The sequence below is a fragment of the Homo sapiens genome, chromosome 2, assembly GCF_000001405.40.
Source record: "Homo sapiens chromosome 2, GRCh38.p14 Primary Assembly".
NCBI lineage: Eukaryota > Metazoa > Chordata > Mammalia > Primates > Hominidae > Homo > Homo sapiens.
The window spans coordinates 39,217,751-39,238,717 of record NC_000002.12 but is presented as its reverse complement, the minus strand read 5'-3'; the positions used below and the strand labels follow the sequence as shown (position 1 = coordinate 39,238,717).

Here is a 20,967-nt window from a genome sequence, read left to right as displayed (position 1 = left end):
AGAAGGGTTTATTTCTTGACTCATTATTATGTTTCATTGATATATGTCTTTATGCTGGTACCACAGTCTTGATTTACCATAACTTTATAGTAAAATTTTAAGTCAAATTTAAGATAAATTTTTAATATAAATATTCTAAATTTGTTCTTTTTCAAAGTTGATTTGGCTATTCTGGGTCGTATGCATTTCCGTATAAATCTTAGTTTCAATTTCTGTCCAAATAAAGCCTGTTGGAATTTGTATAAGGAATTAATTTTGTTTAATTTTGTTCATTTTGGCTTTTTAGAGACAGGGTCTTGCTGCATTGCCTAGGCTAGAGTGCAGTGGCATAATCATAACTCAATGTAGCCTCAAACTCCTGGGCTCAGGTGATCCTCCCGCCTCAACATCCCAAGCAGCTGAGACCACAGGCGAGGGCCACTAGACCCTGGCTAATTATTTTTTATTTTTTTAGAGATAGGGTCTCACTATGTTGACCGGGCTTGTCTCAAACTTTTCGGCTCAAGTAATCCTTCTGCCTCAGCCTCCCAAAGAGCTGGGATTACAGGCATGTGCCACCACTCCTGGCCAGGAATTAGTTTATAGATGAATTTATGAAAAGCTGATATCTTGCTGGGTTTTCAAATCCATGAACATGGCATTTTTCTCCTTTTATTTAGATCTTTAATTTCTTTCAATGGTATTTTGTAATTTTCAGTATGCAGGTCTTGCACTTCAGTTGTTAAATGTATTCCTGAGTATTTTATTCATTTTTACATTAATTTGGATGGAATTGTTTTCTTAACTTTATTTTCAAATTGTTTGTTGCCATTATATAAAAAGATGATTTATTTTGCATATTGATCTTGTATCCTACTTCACTGCAAACTTGGTGATTATTTCTAGTAGACTTTTTATAGATTCATTACGATTTTCTGTAGATAGTATCATGTCATTTCTGAATAATGACAGTTTTACTTTTTATTTTCTTTTTTAAAAAAATATTCATATATATTGAGCACTTCATTTAATAACTATTTATTTTATAGAGATGGGGTTCTTGCTGTGTTACTCAGGCTGCTCTCAAAATTTTGGCCTCAAGCAATCCTCCCACCTTGGCCTCCCAAACTATTGGGGTTAGAGGTGTGAGCCACTGTGCCTGACCTTACTTTTCGTTTTCAATGTATATGCCTTTAATTTCTTTTTCTTGCCTTATTGCACTGACAAGAACTTTCAATACAATGATAAATAAAAATAGTGAAAGCAAACATCTTTTTTCCAGTCTTAGGGGTAACACATTCAATCTTTCATCATTAAGCATGATGTTAACTGTAGATTTTTCACAGATGCCCTTGAGGAAGTCCCCTTGTATTCATCATGAATGAGTGTTGGCTTTTGTCAGATTCCTTTTTTGTGTGTACTAAGGTGATCATGTGATGTTTTTCTTTTATTCTATTAATATGGTATTTTACATTATTGATTTTCAGTATTAAATCCACTTTGCATTCCTGAGATAAGTCCCACAGAGTCACGGTATATAATCTATTTTATGTTTCCAGATTTGGTTTGCTAATTATTTTGTTAAGGATTCTTGTGTCTACATTCATGAGAATAATCTGTGTTCTTGTGATTTCTTTGTCTGACTTTCATCTGATTTCTTTGTCTGACTTTGACTTCTATCAGGGTGATATTGGCCACATAGAATGAGTTGAGACATGTTCCCTCCTCTTCTATGTTTTCAAATAGTTTGCAAAGGATTGATACTAATTTTTCTTAGGTAATGTTTGGTAGTATTTACCTGTGATGCTATCTGATCCTGGGCCTTTCCTTGTGGGCAGATTTTTAATTACTGATTGAATTTATTTACTTGTTATGGTTGTAATCAGATTTCTATTTCTTCTGGAGTCCATTTTGGTATTTTGTATCTTTCTAGGCACTTGTCCAACCAACTTGACTAATTTTGTTGCGTAAACTTGTTTGGAATATTGTCATTTTTTTTAATTTCTGTAGTATGGTCCTAATTTTGATAACTTTTCTTTCTTTCTTTTTTCTTGCCTACTCTAGCTAGAGCTTCACTTTTGTTGATCTTTTCAAAGAACCAGTTTTTGTTTATTGTTTTCTATTGTTTTTCTGATGAAGAGTCAGCCATTAAGCATATTGTTGTTCCCTTGTATACGAATGGTTCTCTCTTTTCAAGATGTTGTCTTTAGCTTTCAGGAGTTTGGCTATGATATATCAAGGCATGGATTTCTTTGTGTTTATCCTATTTGGAATTCATTGAACTTTTAAGACCTGTATATTAATGTTTTCCATTAAATTTGGAAGGTTTTGGCCATTGTTTCATAAAATATTGTTTTTCTGCCATTTCCACTTACTCCTCTCTTTCTGGGAATCTCATTACATGTATATTGGTAGTATTGATTTTGCCTCCATCGGTCTCTGAGGCTCTGTTCATCTTGTTTTTCTTCTTTCATTTTGACTGCTTTTTATTGGTCTATTTTACTGATTCTTTCTTCTGTCATCTCAGATCTGCTGTTTGTCCCATCTACAGGATTTTTCATTTCTGGTTTTTTTTTTTTTTTTTACTCTAAAATTTCCATTTGGTTCTTTTTTTTATTTTCATTTTCTGATTGAAATTCCCTCTTCATTGAGTCATTGTCCTCATATTGTTCTTTAATTCTTTAAATTATAATTTGCTTTAATTATTTGAACATATTTATAACAGCTGCTTTGAAGACTGTCAGCTAAATCCAACATCTGAGTCTACTCAGAATCCATTTTTATTGACTTTATTTTTTCTGAGTATCAGTCACACTTTCCTTTTTTTTAGCATGTCTCATATTTTTTTTTCTTTCTTCTTCTTTCCTACTTCCTCCTAAAATCCAGTTTTATCTCCTAATTTTTTTGTTGAAAACTTAACATTCTAGGTAATATTATAGCAATTGTGGGGTGTTTGTTATTGTGGTTGTTGTTGTGGTTGTTGTTTCAATACAAGGTCTCACTCTGTCTACAAGCTGGAGTGCAGTGGCATGATCATAGTTCTACAGTACTATAACCTTGAACTCCCAGGCTCAAACCATCCTTCTGCCTCAGCTTCCTGAGTAGCTAGGAATACTGGCATGTACCACCACACCCAGATAGTTTTTAAAATCTTTTTGTAGAGATAGGGTCTCACTGTATTGCCCAGGCTGGTCTTGAACTCCTGAGCTCAATCAATCCTCAGGCCTCAGCCTCCTAAGTAGATTAATGGCATTTTTTACTCCCACCTATTGCCCATTTGATTATCAATAAGCTTGTTCATCTTTCTTTCCCTCTTCATTCTTTTAACATAATTTAGTTGCATTACTTTCTACTTTGTCAGAATTTATAATATTTTTTTCTTATTCTTCCACTCTTGTTTCTACCTTTACTTTGATCTTTAAGTATATTAAATGCTCACCATAAATCCTTTTGCTGAAATTTTTCCAGTCAACTCTTGATTGGATGAAGGCCTTTCACCAATACATTCAAGAGGACTATGGGGTACAGTATTCCTTGAGTTCTTGCATGTTTTAAAATATCAGCTGGGTGTGGAGGCTCATGCCTATAATCCCAACATTTTGGGAGGCCAAGGTGGGAAAATCGATTTAGCCCAGGAGTTTGAGACCAGCCCTGGGCAGCAAACCAAGACCCCATCTTTACAAAAATAAATAAATAATATTAACCAGGTGTGGTCCCAGCTACTTGGGAGGCTAAGGTGAGAGGATTGCTTGAGCTTGGGAAGTCAAGGCTGCAGTGAGTCATGATTGCACCACTGCACTTTAGATTGAGCAACAGAGCAAGAACCTGTCTCAAAAAAAAAAAAAAATTTTTTTTAAATGTTTATCTATAGCTTTGCACTTGAAGGACACACCTTGGCTGAATATAAAATCCTTGATTTTCATTTTCCCTTGAGTTTAAGATGCTGCTGCACTGTTACTTTGTAATGTATATTGCTCTTGATAAGTCTGATGTCACTCTAATCCTCTCACACTTATTTAATCTTTTTGTCTGGAGGCTCAGAGAGTATTCTCTTTATCTTTGATTGTTTTATTCAAATATGTCTTGGAGTTCGTTGTTCTGGGTCAGTTTTCCCAACTACCTAATGGGCCTTTTCAATAGATATAATTAGATTTTATTTTATTTCCAGAAAATTTTATTGGATTATTATTTCAACTATTGATTCTGTTTCATTGTTTTGTCTTCTTCAGGGACTCCAGTTGTACATACGTTCGGACTTCTTTTCCTGTCTCCATTTCAACTTTCTGTCTAAACTTTTACCTTTTTTTCTTCATTTTAATTCTCATAATTACTGTTCTGCCTTTCTTTAATGCCCCAATCAAATTTTCACTTGAATCTATTCTCCTATCAGCATCTCATAATTTAGTCATTTCTGAGATGATTTTGTCTTTTTCTGATTATTCTTTTCTGAGTTCAATCAACTATCTTTTTATATCTTTTTATCCAAATCTACACATCAATAGCCAAAAGAAAAAAGTGAAAATATAGGCCGGGTGCAGTGGCTCACGCCTGTAGTCCTAGCACTTTGGGAGGCCAAGGCAGGTGGATCATGAGGTCAGGAGATCGAGACCGTCCTGGCTAACACAGTGAAACCCCACCTGTACTAAAAAATACAAAAATTAGCCGGGAGTGGTGGCACACGCCTGTAGTCCCAGCTATTCAGGAGGCGGAGGCAGGAGAATCGCTTGAACCCGGGAGGCAGAGGTTGCAGTGAGCCGAGATCGTGCCACTGCACTCCAGCCTGGGTGACAGAACGAGACTCTGTCTCAAAAAAAAAAAAAAAAAAAGTAAAAATAAAATTTATATATATATATATATATCTTCTTAAATAATTTTTGTCCACTTGTGATTTGAATATCTGATTCATTGTGGCTTTTTCGTATCTCCAAATTATGAGAGGATATTTAAATCAGTTTGAAGTGTTTGTGTTAGTTTTCTTTTGCTTCATGGTTAGATTTTGTGTGTTTTTTTTTGTAAATGATTTTCATTAACTGAAATTTTTGGGTTCTCATTTCTTTTTTCTGACAATAATAGCATGTATGGGGACGGCTTTCCCTTGTTTCATTTCTTGGGCAGGTTTTGGCTGTTAGTAACTGACTATCATCCTAGGCCAAGAGAGTGTTTTCTGTCACTGTAGTAAAATGCAGTTTCTTTCATTGATGACACTTTTTCCCTGTCTTAGTGGTGATGGGAGGATTCGCATGCCCTTCAATTCAGAATTCTCTTTTGTCTTGCAAGATGCCAAATGTATCCTTCTCGCTTCTTTTTCCCTTCACTGTCCAGTCTCCAACAGATGTCTTTCCCTTCCCTCTTGTCCTTTTATTCCCCAAAAATGGTGCCACACTGACTAGTGCCACCTTGAGACCCATGTTACTTTTACACCCCTTCCTTGTAGTGAGTGTTCTGATCTACCAGGACACACTTAGGGTATTTTTACACTTGTGATGTGTTTTCTCTTTGGGAAGGAGGTGATCTTAAGTCTTTCTTAGGCCCTTCTTTTACTCTTCTGTCTTTCTTAAAGCTTTTTAGATCTCACCCCTCTCATATCTTTGCGTTCTGCCAAGGTTTACAGTGGGAGCTCAAGAGATAACCCCTCCAGAATTTAGGCTTTTCTTTTCTTTTTCTTTCTTTCTTTCTTTTTTTTTTTTTTTTTTTGAGATGGAGTCTCACTCTGTCACCCAGGCTGGAGTGCAGTGGTACGATCTCGGCTCACTGCAACCTCCGCCTCCTGGGTTCAAGCAATTCTCTTGTCTCAGCCTCCTGAGTAGCTGGGACTACAGGCGCGTGCCACCATGCCTGGCTAATTTTTTGTATTTTTAGTAGAGATGGGATTTCATCGTGTTAGCCAGGATGGTCTCGATCCCCTGACCTCGTGATCCGCCCGCCTCAGCCTCCCAAAGTGCCGGGATTACAGGAGTGAGCCACCACGCCCAGCTAGGCTTTGCTTTTCTACCTAAGTTTGTAGAGTCCTGTGTCTTCTTGTTATATTGAAGGCACTGGATTTATGTGGTTTTATTTGTCCTGGTTGATTTGTATTGCTTTGTGGAAGATGTATGAGGAGATTAGGTTTAGGCAGCAGTCACTGTCCTTGGCTACCTCAAAGCCCCCCACCACATGTACCTTGACAAGCCATTTAGGCATAACGTGGAGCATGTTTGTGAACATTGGGTATGGACAGAGGATAAGAAAGAAGAGAAGGCATTTGGTTTAGAATGTTCCAATTTTTAGATGATTCTGTCCATTCATGTAGAGATACTCATCAAGCAGTTGGATAGTTGGTCTGGATCTCAAATAAGAGAGTAGGAATTACTGCCTCCAGAAACTCTGTTATAATCCTAGTAAGCTGGAATTAGAGCTGTAAATTCCACAAAGGAATTTACAGGCATTGGTCTAATTCCTGCTTGCATACTCAGACTCATTTTCCATGAACATATAGTAGGGCTTTTGAAAACAGAAATATTGAGTGGTTACTAGGTGAAGTACTATTTCCTGGAGCTTTATTTTATTGTATTTAGCAGTTTGGTTGATGTGATTATGAGATCTAAATATTAGTCTGAGGAATCAGTCGTTACTGAATCTGTTGAGAAAAAAGAAAAAACATACATCAATAGATCAAATCAACTACCTAGAGGGAAATAATAAAATAATGCATACATTAAAACTTCATAATTAAGCTTCTTGTCATATTTATAGTTTCCCCCAATGACTGTAGTACTTATCAAGTAGGTTAAATTAACAAATCTATAAAGTTTTATACCAATAACTTTATCTCATTTTATTTTAGAGACAGGGTCTCACTCTGTCACCCAGGAAGTAATACAGTGGTACAATCATAGTTCACTGTAACCTCAAACTCCTGGGCTCAAGTGATCTTCCCACCTCAGCCTCCAAAAGTGTTGGGATTACAGGCATGAGCCAATGCTCCCAGCCAGATGCCAATAACTTTCTAAAGCAAATTCCCAGTTTCTCCTACTCTCTTTCCAGCCATCTATTACTATGCAAATGTATGCATGCTCACATCTAAATATCTTTAAAATAATAATACATAGGTAAAAATACAGTATAACTAATAGGGCTTTCAGAACATAATCTGTGATGGATTTTCCATGTGTTACTTGAGTGTGTATGCTTGAATTTTCTTTCTTTAATAAGAGAGGAAATCGAATTCATTCCCCCTCAAAAAAGCAGCACTGTAAAAAATAGTATGTCAGTAGTCATTATATCCAGGTAAACATTTTTCTCCATTGTATATTTTTATGGTGGCAAGTGGAAGTAGATTATTTCTTTCACCATTGAGATAATCTGTAGTTGGAAAAGACAATATTATTAGAGAAGTTTTAAAAAATGTGTACTCATTTGAAACAAGAGAAATTTACAAGTAGTCAACTTTTTCACTTGACATTTTGTTAATACCAAGACCTGGATAAAGTGGTTCTTCGAATTATACATTCTTTTTGTTTGTTTGTTTGTTTGTTTGTTTTTGTTTTTGAGATGGAGCCTTGCTCTGTCTCCCAGGCTGGAGTGCAGTGGTGCGATCTCAGCTCACTGCAACCTCCACCTCCAGGGTTCAAGAGATTCTCCTGCCTCAGCCTCCTAAGTAGCTGGGATTACAGGCCTGTGCCACCACACCCGGGTAATTTTTTGGTGTTTTTAGTAGAGACAGGGTTTCACCATGTTGGCCAGGCTGGTCTCGAACTCCTGACCTCAGGTGATCCACCTGCCTCGACCTCCCAGAGTTCTGGGATTACAAGTGTGAGCCACTATGCCTGGCTGAATTATGCATTCTTTTGCACTTAACTGAGAGGCTGTGTAATGTAGTGATTAAAATTGTGTTCTTTGAAATCTCACTCCGTGGGTTCTAATTCTGTATTACCTTCACTGTGTCTTTTCTCATCTGTATAATTGGATAAAAATAACACCTACTTCATAGAATATTTGTGCACATTCTATGTAATTTGTATAGAACAATGTTAAGTGCCATTATTATTGTAATTGTTATTAGGTTATATTAACAAGATTCTGCTGGATAAAGTGGGGTGGGGTTTTTGAGACTAATTAGAATTTTTCTATTTTTAATTCTTAGACTGATTTATTTAAATATGTTGGCCTTAGTCATCATGTAATATTTAATTCGGTCACCAAAACATTCATTCAAGAATGGATGACACAAAACAGAAAAACCCAGTATTTCCATAGAAATCACTAGAGATGTGAAAGAATTCATAAGAATGAATGCTTTCTTTGTGTTTATTATTTTCTTTTGGGGCTAAGAACTTAAGAATCTGTTCTTCCATGAAAATAAAAGCTAGGAGCAATAAATACCCTAAAAGGATTCTGTTATTGTTTTGTGTTTTTCAGACAGAGTTTCACTCTTGTTGCCCAAGCTGGAGTGCAATGGCACAATCTCAGCTGGGTTCAAGGGCCTCCTGAGTAGCTGGGATTACAGGCATGTGCCACCACACCTGGCTAATTTTGTATTTTTAGTAGAGATGGGATTTCTCCATATTGGTTAGGCTGGTCTTGAACTCCCAACCTCAGGTGATCCACCCACCTTGGCCTTCCAAAGTTCTGGGATTACAGGCTTGAGCCACTGTGCCTGGCCTGTTATTGTTTTTAAAGACTGCTTTGTTCAATGGCCCACGCTCTTTCTTCTCTCCACCAGGTGGAAGTATAGCACTTTTTGTACCATGTCTTCTTACACAACTCCTCCTAGTCATTGTGTATGCACTTGGGTTAGAAGAGAAAAGATAAACAGCATATTCCAGAGTATGAAATGTTCCTTCAGCTGGATTTTACAGCATCATATTTCAGTTGTTTGCTTGAGCATAATGAAAACAATAGATGGGATAAGTTTCCTTTCCACAAATTCTTTTAGTTCAACTGAGGTCAACATAGAACCATTGTCAGAAATAGCATATGAAATCTTTTGATAGCTGGAAGAGCTGCAGAGGACTAAACTAAACTAACAAAATAATATCCAAATATTTTTAAGTGGATTTCCAATTAATTGATGAATATAAACCTTTGGCATGTGGACAAATTGGTTGTATATAACCTGTGAGAACATTGTCTTTTATAGCTTGATTAAGGCAAGTCTACCTTATTTTCCAGGTGCAGCATTGTACTGCAAGTCAATCGATACAATAATTTAAGTCACTTCAGCTATAATGGAAAAGTATGAAAAATTAGCTAAGACTGGAGAAGGGTCTTATGGGGTTGTATTCAAATGCAGAAACAAAACCTCTGGACAAGTAGTAGCTGTTAAAAAATTTGTGGAATCTGAAGATGATCCTGTTGTTAAGAAAATAGCACTAAGAGAAATACGTATGTTGAAGGTAAGTTAACTTTATATATATGTAAAATATCATGGAATTGAGTGAAATATGCATGTTAAAATTGCAAAGAATTTTAAAGTTATTTTCCCCCCATTGGACTTAAATTCCTTTGTATCAGCACCTTTGGGTAATAAGTTGATTATCACTTTGGACTTCGGCCACTCTGATTTTGTCTGTGTATGAATACAGCTATAGATTGTTATACTGAAAAGAACTTTTATTCTTGTTAGTAAATATCCTAAGTCCACTCACCCCAGTGTTTACGCTCGCCCCCAACCCTGGCCCTCCTCTGGATATCCCTCCAAATACTTCCCCTACCAACCAGCAACTAAAAGAGCACCTCCTGGCACAGAGAGTCAGTCCCACAGGACCGCACCAATGCCCTGGTAGGCATCGACATGCGTTGGTTCCTGCCTGCACTGCACCCCAGGTTCTTAGACATACTGAATAGCACCCCCGGTAACGTACACATTTTTTACATAAAGGTTTTTGTTATAATTGTTTTCACTCTGATAAGATTTGACATGTAAGATTCCTAAGTTCTCAATGTAAATTTTTTCTTACGCTAAATATCTTACAGTTTTAGATCTATAAGCGACCGTAGAGATGCTTCTTATCTAACAACCATATTTTCCGCAGAGGAAACGGAGGTCTGGGGCAGCACTTCTCAAATGTTAATATGCATTGGAATCCCCGGGGACCTTGTTGAAATGCAGATTCTGAGTTGGGAGGTCTGGGGTGGGCCCGAGATTCTGCATTTCTGAGTACGCAGGAAGTGCGGAAGCTGCTGGTTTGTGGGCTACACATTATGTGACAAGACCCTGTGATTTCAAGGACACACAGGCAACCTTCATTTTTGACACGTCGTCTGTTTTTAGAAAATCCCCAGAAATTCAGTTTGTAAGGGAGGATAATAATTATCACTAATAATTATCATGTTTTCTCTCATTTTCAAATATTATTTCCCACAGGTTTCCTCAACTAATACACACTAGGGTTTTGTTTGAAATATAACTTGATACAGTCTTCAGGAACACATCCATCATGATAAAAAAAAGTTCACTCTTACCTCTCAGCCAGCAGAGGGCGCGCCGGTCAGCTAGCCAGCTCTGGCACCCTCACTGAGCTAAGCTGCAGGGCGGGTCTGAACCAAGCAGTGTGGCTTTCTAATAAAAATAATGCTTTTACCTGTCAGCCTCTCCGTCCCAAGTCTTCAGATAAAGTTAATGCTCAGGTAGTACCTTCTGCATTACAAGTGCCCAACTGGAGAATGAGGCTGTAAGGTAAAAACTAGCCTGATTATGACTCAGCTTGGTCTCTGATGAAGGCCCTCAGAATGTCAGAACGTCCATCTTTCTGCTTTTGGTATGTTGTGTCCATGTAGGTCCTGAACAGCTCCTTCTGTGATCAGTCGACCTTCCTTTCCTCACATAGTCTTGTTATTTAAATTGCTTGCCTCTCTGTCCTTACCACCTGTTTTTCTTTAGGCAAGTTACTGTTTTCCTGGGCTAGGTTAACTTCATTTGCAAAGGCGGTATAAATTGCTGACCTACCCAAAGACAGGAGATTGGACCAGGTTTAACCTTGACATTGCATCAAACTGTAGTATCTGTAAATCTTTTACTCCCCTAGTAGAGATCCTGCTTTGCTTCCATACTGTGGTTTTGCAGCGGCACAAAGCCACTGGCTTTTTAGATGACCTAGTCTCTTCCACTCTTTGCCTTTCTGCTCTTTTAGGCAGTGGAGCACATAGAAAACAAATTGGTTTGGTGCTTTGGGCTTCTCTCTTTTTTTTCCCTTAGAGAGATGGGGTCTCAGTATGTTGCTTAGGCTGATCTCGAACTCCTAGGTTCACGCGATCCTCCTGCCTCAGCCTGGGCATATTTTTAATGTATAATGGATTCTCTTTTCCCCAGCTGTGGAGCAGCAGGCACACAGTTTTAGGGTGACATTTGTTTTGGTCAAGCCATGCTTACGTTAATAGATACTGAGGTAGAGGCATGCATTGTGAGTCTCTGTACCTAAAATTTTCTACTGGGCCTGTTATTTGTTGAGCTTCTACTATATGCAAAATGCTGTGTTCTCTCTCAGTATCTTTCTGGGTAAATGGAAGAGAGTTTGGAAAGTTGATTTGTCTACTATACTGGGAAAACAACAGGGAAGATGGGTTAGGAATAAGAGTGATCATGTATCCTGATTTGCCCAAGAGAGTTCTGCTTTATAGTTTTTGTCCCAGTGTCCTGCCTGGTTCACATCCCCTTTCAAAAGTGTCCTGGTGTGGCCAGGCCCAATGGCTCACGCCTGTAATCCGAGCACATTGAGAAGCCGAGGCAGATGGATTGCTTGAGGTCAGCAGTTTGAGACCAGCCTGTCCACGTGAGACCAGCCTGTCCAACATGGTGAAACCCCATCTCTACTAAAAATACAAAAATTAGCCAGGCGTGGTAGCACCCACCTGTAGTCCCAGCTACAGCAAAGGCTAAGGCATGAGCATCACTTGGAACCAGGAGGCGGAGGTTGTAGTGAGCCGAGATGGCGCCACTGCACTTCAGCCTGGGCGACAGAGCAAGGAAAAAAAAAAAGTGTCCTGGTGTGTATGCTGAATTATGTGGTCACCCTAGTTACAGACGGAGTGACCATATGTGCTGGTTTGCCTACGATAGTCCTGGCTTCTACCCATTACCCTAGTTTGGAAGATAAAATTATCTAATCGCTGTAGTGATGGTCTGTCCTACCTAATCAGCATTTTTCCTTGGGTTTGCGATATTAAACAGAGGCTGTCTTGTGAAATGCGTCAGTTTGGGAATAGAATTTAACACACAAAATATCTATGCATAAGAGAGAACAACAGAATCAAAGAACAATGCTGAAAATATATAATATATATTATATATATATAATATATATAATATATATATAATATATATAATTTATATAAATATAAATAAGTAAATTTAAAACACAGACTAATTGTGGGGACTTCTAGAATAGACAGTTTATTCCGATTTGATGGTTAGGAACAAGTATTACTGGGAGTCAACACTAGAATCCAGACTGGATTTAAATCCATAAAATCCATGGCAATATGTAAGCTGAGTGGATATTGATTATTTTTATAGTCCTTAATAATTTCATTTCCTCAATTTTCTACTCAGGTTATTTTATGACTTGTATATATAGAATTTCCATAAAATACATAAAGTGTTTTTTGTTTTATTGCAGTATTTTAAGTTACATACTTTACTTGCTATCACCAGAGAGATTCAAGCAATTTTGTTACCACTTATTATAGGTACATTGGATGAATCTTAAATTTCTTCCAACTTTAAGTTTCTTTAAGGGGTCTGGGTAGAAGCTTTTACTAGTAACAGATCACTTAACTTTGCATTTCAATTCTTTCACAGCAATTAAAACATCCAAATCTTGTGAACCTCATCGAGGTGTTCAGGAGAAAAAGGAAAATGCATTTAGTTTTTGAATACTGTGATCATACACTTTTAAATGAGCTGGAAAGAAACCCAAATGGGTAAGTAATCTGGAAACTGAAATTCTGTACAGCCAGTTCTCAGTTTCATTTTCTGTGGAATTAACCATGGCAAATTTCAAATCCCAGCCACAATTCCCCTTTCTACCACAATGCATCTGGCTACCCCATCCAGTCTCAGGATGTCTTCAAAAGGCAAACAATGATTTACCTATAGGAGTTATAATTAGGAGAAAAACCTACCACAGATATAAAATCAAAATGAATTTGAGGCTAAATTATGTATTGGATTATCTGAGTTCAAGGAATGAACCATGGTTTGATACTAGGAAACCTATTCATATAATTCACTAATAAGATAAAAAAATGTACGATTGATAAATTTGAAAATTTGAAATGTTGATAAATTCAACATCCTTTCCTGATTTTTTTTTAATCCCTAGCATCTAGGATTAAAAGAATAGTTTTTTTTTTTTGAGATGGAGTCTTACTTTGTTGCCCAGACTGGAGTGCAGTGGCGCGATCTCAGCTCACTGCAACCTCCACCTCCTGGGTTCAAGCAGTTCTCTGCCTCTGCCTCTGCCTCCCGAGTAGCTGGGATTACAGGCACACACCACCATGCCCGGCTAATTTTTGTATTTTTAGTAGAGACGGGGTTTCACCATCTTGGCCAGGCTGGTCTTGAACTCCTGACCTCATGATCCACCTGCCTCGGCCTCCCAAAGTGTTGGCACACACACCCCTCTTCAAATCAACTGCCAATGTTATACTCAATGGTAAAACTAAAAGAACTTTCATTAAAGTGAGGAAACAAGACAAGGATGTCAGCTGTCACCACTATAATGCAACGTTGTTCTGAGAACTCTAGCCAATGTAATGTAATAAGAAAAACAAAACATAGCTTTTGGAAATGAAATAAAATTGTCATTATTTGCAAGATATTACTGATCTACAAAATCTAAGAGAACCACCTAAAGAGTTATTAAAACCAGTGGAATTCAGTACAGCGACCCCTATAACACGACAGATTCCACATGCAAAAATTAACAGCATTTGTATCAAACAACACTTTAGAAAATCTAACAGAGAATGGCTGGGTGCAGTGTCTCATGCCTTTGGGAGGCTGAGGCAGGTGGATCACTTGAACTCACGTGTTCTAGACAAGCCTGGCCAACATGGTGAACCCCTGTCTCTACTAAAAAGATAAAAATTACCTGGGTGTGGTTGTGGGTGCCTGTAGTCCCAGCTACTCGGGAGGCTGAGGCACGATGATTGCTTCAACCCAGGAGGCGGAGGATGCAGTGAGCCGAGATCACACCACTGCACTCCAGCCTTGGTGACAGAACAAGACTCTGTCTCAAGAAAAAAAAAAAAAAAAAAAATTAGTGGAGAAGGATCCCATTCAAATATTAACAACAACAAAAGTTTAGGAATAAAGATAAAGAGTTGTTCTGACTCTGCATGAAGACAACTACAAAACTGAGATATGTAAGGATTTTATTTAAATGAACATGTTTCTAAATGGAAATATTCATGATTATAAAAATATTGCCTCTACAGTTTATCTGTTTATTAAACAAAATTCTAATCAGAATACCAATAGGGTATTTTTTGAAATTTGAAAAAGACTAAATCGAGAAAAAAGGGACTTTTAACTGTCAAATATTAAATCACAGTAGTTTAAGAGACTCCCTTTGACAAAAAAGTACCATAAACAAAACTAAAATAGAAATGAGATATTGGGTAAACTATTTGCCAGAATGAATAAATTTTATGTCTACCTATGCAGATTTTACAAATAACATTTTTTAAAAGGTTAACATCCAATTAATAAATATATTTATTCAAAAAAAACTTTCATAAATGTAGACTGTGCACCCAGCCAGTGCTAAGTCTACAGCATTGAACAGAGCACACACAGAAAAGGAGCCTCACCTTACCTTCCAGTGAACATGGGAAGCAAATCATTAAAAAAGAGAAGGAGGCTGGGTGCAGTGGCTCATGCCTGTAATCCCAGCCCTTTGGGAGGCTGAGGCAGGTGGATCAGCTGAGCTTGGGAGTTCAAGACCAGCCTGGCCAACATGGTGAAACCCATCTCTACAAAAACTACAAAAATTAACCTAGCCTGTTGTCCCAGCTAGTTGGGAGGCTGAGGTAGGAGGATCACTTGAGCTCAAGAGGTGAAGGCTGCAGTGAGCAGAGATCATGCCACTGCACTCTAACCTGGGTAACAGAGTGAGACCCCATCTCTCTTTTTTTTTTTTTTTTGAAGACAGAAGTCTTCAAAAAAAAAAAAAAAGAGAAGGAAATGACCAGTACATCTAAGAAAACATGCTTATCCTTCCCTATTAATCAAGGAAATTCAAAACTTTTTAGCAAGGTACCATTTCTCATCTGTTAAATTTGGCAAAGATTTTTCAAAAATTATTATACCCAGTCTTATCAACAGTCAGGGAATCAGACCTCCTCATTGATGGCTAGAGAGAGTGCCATTAGGAGGGCAATTTGGCAATATGTATGAAAAAATTTTAACTGTTTTCATCCTTTGATCAAGAGATTCCATTTAGAGAAATTTATAGTAAGAAAATAATCAGATGAGGGCAAAAGTTATACATATGAATGTTCAATACGTCATTATTTATAACAAAAATATTGGACTCCCCTAATTTTCCAACAGTAAATAATTGGTTACAGGCATTTTGGTATATCCATCCATACAATAGTACAATATGCAGCCAGCCCATTAGAGAGCATGCTTTAGAACAATAGTTAATGTCCTGGGGAAATGTTCCTGGGATGATATATGAAAAAATGAGATAACATACTAGAATGTTAAGTATAATTGAAAATTTGAGTTTTCTCAAATTTTCTCAAATTTCTGTGAATGCACATATATTACTTTTAAAATAAAAATTAATATAAAAACAATTAAAATGGCATATTAATTCATAGTTAAACTTTATCCTGCACTAAATAGGATGTTGTATGTTGACTTAGAAGACAGATATGTTCAGCCATTCTATAAATTAATTTATAAATTAACATACATTTTCATGAAGTTAGAAATTTATGCTTACTTCATGTATTGTTCAAGGCCCTGAAACTATTATAAAACATTCAATGCATACACCAGTTTGCTTGACTTGAACATCTTTCTCTTCCCTACTTGTATCCTAAGCTTTCCTGTCTATAGACTTAGCTCATGTTCTTCTCATTTTAATCTAGAAGGTTCTAGCCTTTTTCACCTTCACTGTCTCTATCATAATATTTATTTATTTATTTATTTATTTAGAGACAGAGTCTCACACTGTCGCCCAGGCTGGAGTGCAGTGGGGCGATCTCGGCTCACTGCAGCCTCTACCTCCTGGGCTCAAGCTGTCCTCCCACCTCAGCCTCCCAAATACCTGGGACTACAGGGACCCGCTACCATGCCCGGCTAATTTTTGTATTTTTAGTAGACACAGGGTTTTGCCATGTTAGCCAGGCTGCTCTCGAACTCCTAACCTCAGGTGATCCACCTGCCTCAGCCTCCCAAAGTGCTAGGATTACAGGCATGAGTCCCCACACCTGGCCTATCATAATCTTTAAAATGTGAAATCCTAGATATTTGTAACATCTCTAAGTTTCCTTCATCTGGATGGAATTTCTTCCTTCCTTTGAATCCCCATTGAATTTTATTTTCATCCCTGTTGTGGTACTTGGTATTTATACCGTATATGTTTTTATGTGCATACTCTCTCTCACTAGAGTATAAGTTTTTTGAGGGCATACTTCATGTCTCATTGATCTTAATGGCTTCCTTATGCCTAGCATTCTTTCGCTCAAAAAATATTTCATGGAGCATTTTACACTGGTGCAGAGGATACAGTTATAATGATACAGTCCTGCCCTCAAGAAGCTTAAAATGTGATGAAGAGACAGATATTCAAAGTAACAACTACAAATGGTTATGTTGATTGGGTTAATGTTGATGCAAGGGATGCACAAGAGAAGCAACTCCAACATCTGTTGACCCCGGGAAGTGAGGGAGATTCTGCAGAGAAGGCAGCATTTGGGCTTTGAAAAGGAAGAGGAGTTGGCCAGATGGACACCCCTGGCGGAATGCAGAGACACAAGAAAGAGCAAGGCATGTTCAAGCAACTCCTCTGTTGAATATGTGTTTTGCAATGCCAGGGACCTCTGAACTATCCCACTTTGCACTCTTAAGTTTTACAAATGTGCTTAGCACTGCTGGTGTTCAGTAGTGCGTTGCGTCAGCCCTGAGACTTCAATCTATTATGCATGGAGTAATGCAAATAGGAACAATCTAGAATATGCTGCTCTTTTATGAAATGTTGGGTACTTCTAGATAACAATGATTAATTTAAAGCATTCATCTACTTGTACTCCCTTCCTAAAATCTATTTAAATAACAGGCCAGAGAGTATTTTTAAAGGCCTAAGCCCAGTGAATAGCAAACAGAGATAAACAACCAGCTAGTATACATACCAAGCCTTTTGGACTATTGTTTACTAGAGGAAACACGTAGGATAAATAACTGGTGTGTGGGCATAAGATCATCAATGTGGACGGGCGCAGTGGCTCACGCCTGTAATCCCAGCACTTTGGGAGGCCGAGGTGGCTGGATCACAAGGTCACGAGATCAAGAGCATCCTGGCCAACACAGTGAAACCCCATATCTTCTAAAAAATACAAAAAAATTAGCCAGGCGTGGTGGCGGGCACCTGTAGTCCCAGCTACTTAGGAGGCTGAGGCAGGAGAATGGTGTGAACCCAGGAGACGGAGATTGCAGTGAGCTGAGATGGCACCACTGCACTCCAGCCTGGGCGACAAGAGCGAGACTCTGTCTCAAAAAACAAAAACAAAACAAAAAAAAAAACAAAAAAAAAAAAAAAAAAAAAAAAGATCGTCGATGTAGTGAATGCGGATTGAGCCATGGGATGGTGAGATAATGAAGGGACCCAACGACTAAATTACAGCATAAAGAAGAGTTGGGCCAGGCGCAGTGGCTCATGCCTGTAATCCCAGCACTTTGGGAGGCCGAGGAGGGCAGATCACTTGAGGTCAGGAGTTCAAGACCATCCTGGCCAACATGGTGGAACCCTGTCTCTACTAAAAATACAAAAAAATTAGCCAGGCGTGGTGGCAGGTGCCTGTAATCCCAGCTACTCGGGAGGCTGAGACAGAATTGCTTGAACCTGGGAGGCAGAGGTTGCAGTGAGCCCAGACCATGCCACTTCACTCCAGCCTGGGCGACAGAGCGAAACTCCATCTCAAAAAAAAGAAAAAAAAAACCAGAATCTCGAATAAGTTGTGCCCATATTGTTATAATCAGCCCAATCTAAAGTCATATTTCTTCCCCTCTGGTCCAACACCCATGAAATCCATTTCTTCATACATTCCCCGTTATAAATCAGCAAAATGTTGTAGTTCTTTTTGCTATGTAAATCTCCTCTTCCTCTGTTTCACTTTGTTATAGGCCCCCTGGGTCATGCTGGGATCTGACTTTAGTTAAGGTTTGGAGACCTTGAGGGGAGGTGGGGAGAGGAGGCTTGAAGAGAGCGGGCATCCCCACAAAATGCACCTGCCTCAGGTGAGATCTGAGAGTCTGCAGCAAGGCAGAACCAGCCTTATTGTACAAGTTTGGGGGCTACTTCCTATGAGAAGAGAAGTTTGGAAGGAAGTTAGGGTGCTCTTAGTTACATGAATACTTTCAAGTGTCACATTCCAATTCCTGGACTATTTTTCCTTCTCATCTCATTAACTGAGAAACTAATTATCCTCACATAAATTCAGTCTTTGTTGTCATTGAGCACCCTGCAGGGTTATTGTCTGTGTCAGTGTTTTAGTAATCTCATGGAGATCCCAGTGGATCTGTGAAGTGGGTCCTACAGAAACAAGAAGTAAGGGGTTCTTTTAGGGTCGATATCAAAATGCCTGACGTCCTAACTGTGCCTTGAACCAAGATATTAAAGCTCTGAACCTGTGCTTTTTTTTCTTTAATTTCTCCAGTGAAGTTAGAAGCAACCAGACCACCTCACATGTCTGTTACTACTTATGTTCCCCATATTGTTCTATCACACTTAGTTCACCAAAGCCTTGCCTTGAATAGGCATTTTATTCCAGATGGCCTCAGGTGATTATTTAAATTCCCTTTTCAGGCCAAGAACAGTGGCTCCTACCTGTAATCCCAGCACTCTGGGAGGCCGAGGCAGGCAGATTGCTTGAGGTCAGGAGTTCAAGACCACTCTGGGCAACAGGGTGAAATCCCGTTTCTACTAAAATACAAAAAATTAGCCAGGTGTGGTGGCAGGCACCTGTAGTCCCACCTACTCAGGAGGCTAAGGCAGGAGAATTGCTTGAACCCAGAATGCAGAGGTTGCAGTGAGCCAAGATCATGCCATTGCACTCCAGCCTGAGTGACAGAGCGAGACTCTGTCTCAAAAAAATAAATAAATAAATAAATAAATAAATAAGTACCTGTTTCATTACTGAGTGGCCATCTGCCAGCATCCCAGCCATTAATGGTAATTAGATGCTGCCCTTCCGTCCTCATTACATCAGATATCCAATCCTAGATTCTCACAGCCTTGGATTGTTTCCCACATCCACTTCTTTTACCATGTCCTGAATTGGTCAGGATTCAACAACAGAATTCACTCTAGCTAGTTCAGAGAGAAAGAGATTTGTCACAGGGTTTTAGTTTATAAAATTTCTGGGAGTGCCAGAGAAACAAGCTTAATTGAGCTCCTATTAGGTACCAGGTCCTGTTCTAGGTGCTGGGGCTATAATAACGGACAAGAGAAAGTCCTTGCCCTTGTGCAATTTACATTCTGATGTAGTCCAACAATAAAGAAGAGTTATGAGTCTTTGAAGAAAAATAAAGCACAGTGTGGAGTTAGAGAATGCCCAGGAGGTGTATTAGTCAAGGTTCTTCAGAGAAACAAAACCAGTGGGATACATAGAGGTACTGATAACAGGAAATTTATTATTGGTATTGACTCATGTGATTATGGAGGGAGAGAAGTTCCACAATCTGCCATCTGCAAGCTAGAGAACCAGGAAAGCCGATGGTCTAATTCAGGCCAAGTCCTAAGGCCCCAGAGGACAGAGAGTTTCAAAGTCCAAAGGCCTGAGAGCCAGGAGCTTCCACATCCAAGGGCAGGAGAAGATGGACGTCCCAGCTCAAGGAGAGAGAAGCAGCCCTTCCCCTACCGTTTTGTTGTATCCAGGCCTTCAACGGGTTTGATGATGCCTGCCTGCCTGCCCTCACCTTTGTGGGTGGGTCTTCTTTACGCGGTCTACTGATTCAAATGTGAATCCCTTCCAGAAACACCCTCACAGACACACCCACAAATGATGTTTTGGGTTTTTTTTGTTTTTTGAGAGAAGGTCTCATTCACTTGTCTCACTCTCTGCAGTGGCCTGAACATGGCTCACTGCAGCCTCAAACTCCCAAACTCAAGCAAATCCTGCCTCAGTCTCCTGAGCAGCTGGGACCACAGACACTCACCATTATGTCTGGCTAATTTTTAAACTTTGAGTAGAGGTAGGGTCTTGCCATGTGGCCCAGGCTGGTCTCAAACTCCTGTGCTCAAGCAATCCTCCTGCCTCAGCCTCCCAAAGTGCTGGGATTACAGGCATGAGCCACTGCACCTGGCAGAAATAATGTTTTAGCAGCTATCTGGTCATCCCTTAACCTAGTCAAGTTAACACAGAAAATTACTCATAACTAAAAGGAAGTAGAAGGAACAATAAACTGTTAATAGAAGTAGAAATAGAAGTAAACATAGAAATAGAAGTAAAATGTTATTAACAGCCTGATTGAAAGTATAAATAAGCCTTGGGGGCCAGGCGCAGTGGCTCACGCCTGTAATCCCAACACTTTGGGAGGCCGAGGCAGGCAGATCACCTGAGGTCAGGAGTTCAAGACCAGCCTGACCAACATGAAGAAACCCCATCTTTACTAAAAATACAAAGTTAGCTGAGTGTGATGGCACATGCCTGTAATCCCAGCTACTTGGGAGGCTGAGGCAGGAGAATCGCTTGAACCCAGGAGGCGGAGGTTGCGGCGAGCGGAGATTATGCCATTGCACTCCAGCCTGGGCAACAAGAGCGAAACTCTATCTC

At 39.0% G+C, this 20,967-nt stretch overlaps 1 protein-coding gene across 14 annotated transcripts in view, besides 1 other annotated feature; it reads left to right on the top strand.

Moving 5' to 3' along the window:
- CDKL4 (cyclin dependent kinase like 4) overlaps positions 1-20,967 on the top strand; it is a 79,150-nt gene that overhangs the window by 8,403 nt on the left and 49,780 nt on the right. For all 14 annotated transcript variants that reach the window (NR_144521.2, XR_001738736.2, XR_007073748.1 and 11 more), the window contains 2 exons: positions 9,130-9,353; positions 12,758-12,879. Coding sequence is in view for 10 of the 14 variants with exons in the window: in XM_047444141.1 (XP_047300097.1) it covers positions 9,186-9,353; positions 12,758-12,879 (290 nt within the window). In the remaining 4 variants the exon portion in view is untranslated. Of the gene's footprint in view, positions 1-9,129; positions 9,354-12,757; positions 12,880-20,967 lie in introns of those variants that run through there.
- Positions 18,463-18,964: an enhancer, noted in NCBI's record as "NANOG hESC enhancer chr2:39446895-39447396 (GRCh37/hg19 assembly coordinates)". NCBI's record gives its function as "activates a minimal SCP1, AML or CMV promoter by ChIP-STARR-seq in naive H9 embryonic stem cells {active_cell/tissue: H9 hESC(naive)}" and the evidence as "EXISTENCE:reporter gene assay evidence [ECO:0000049][PMID:30033119]".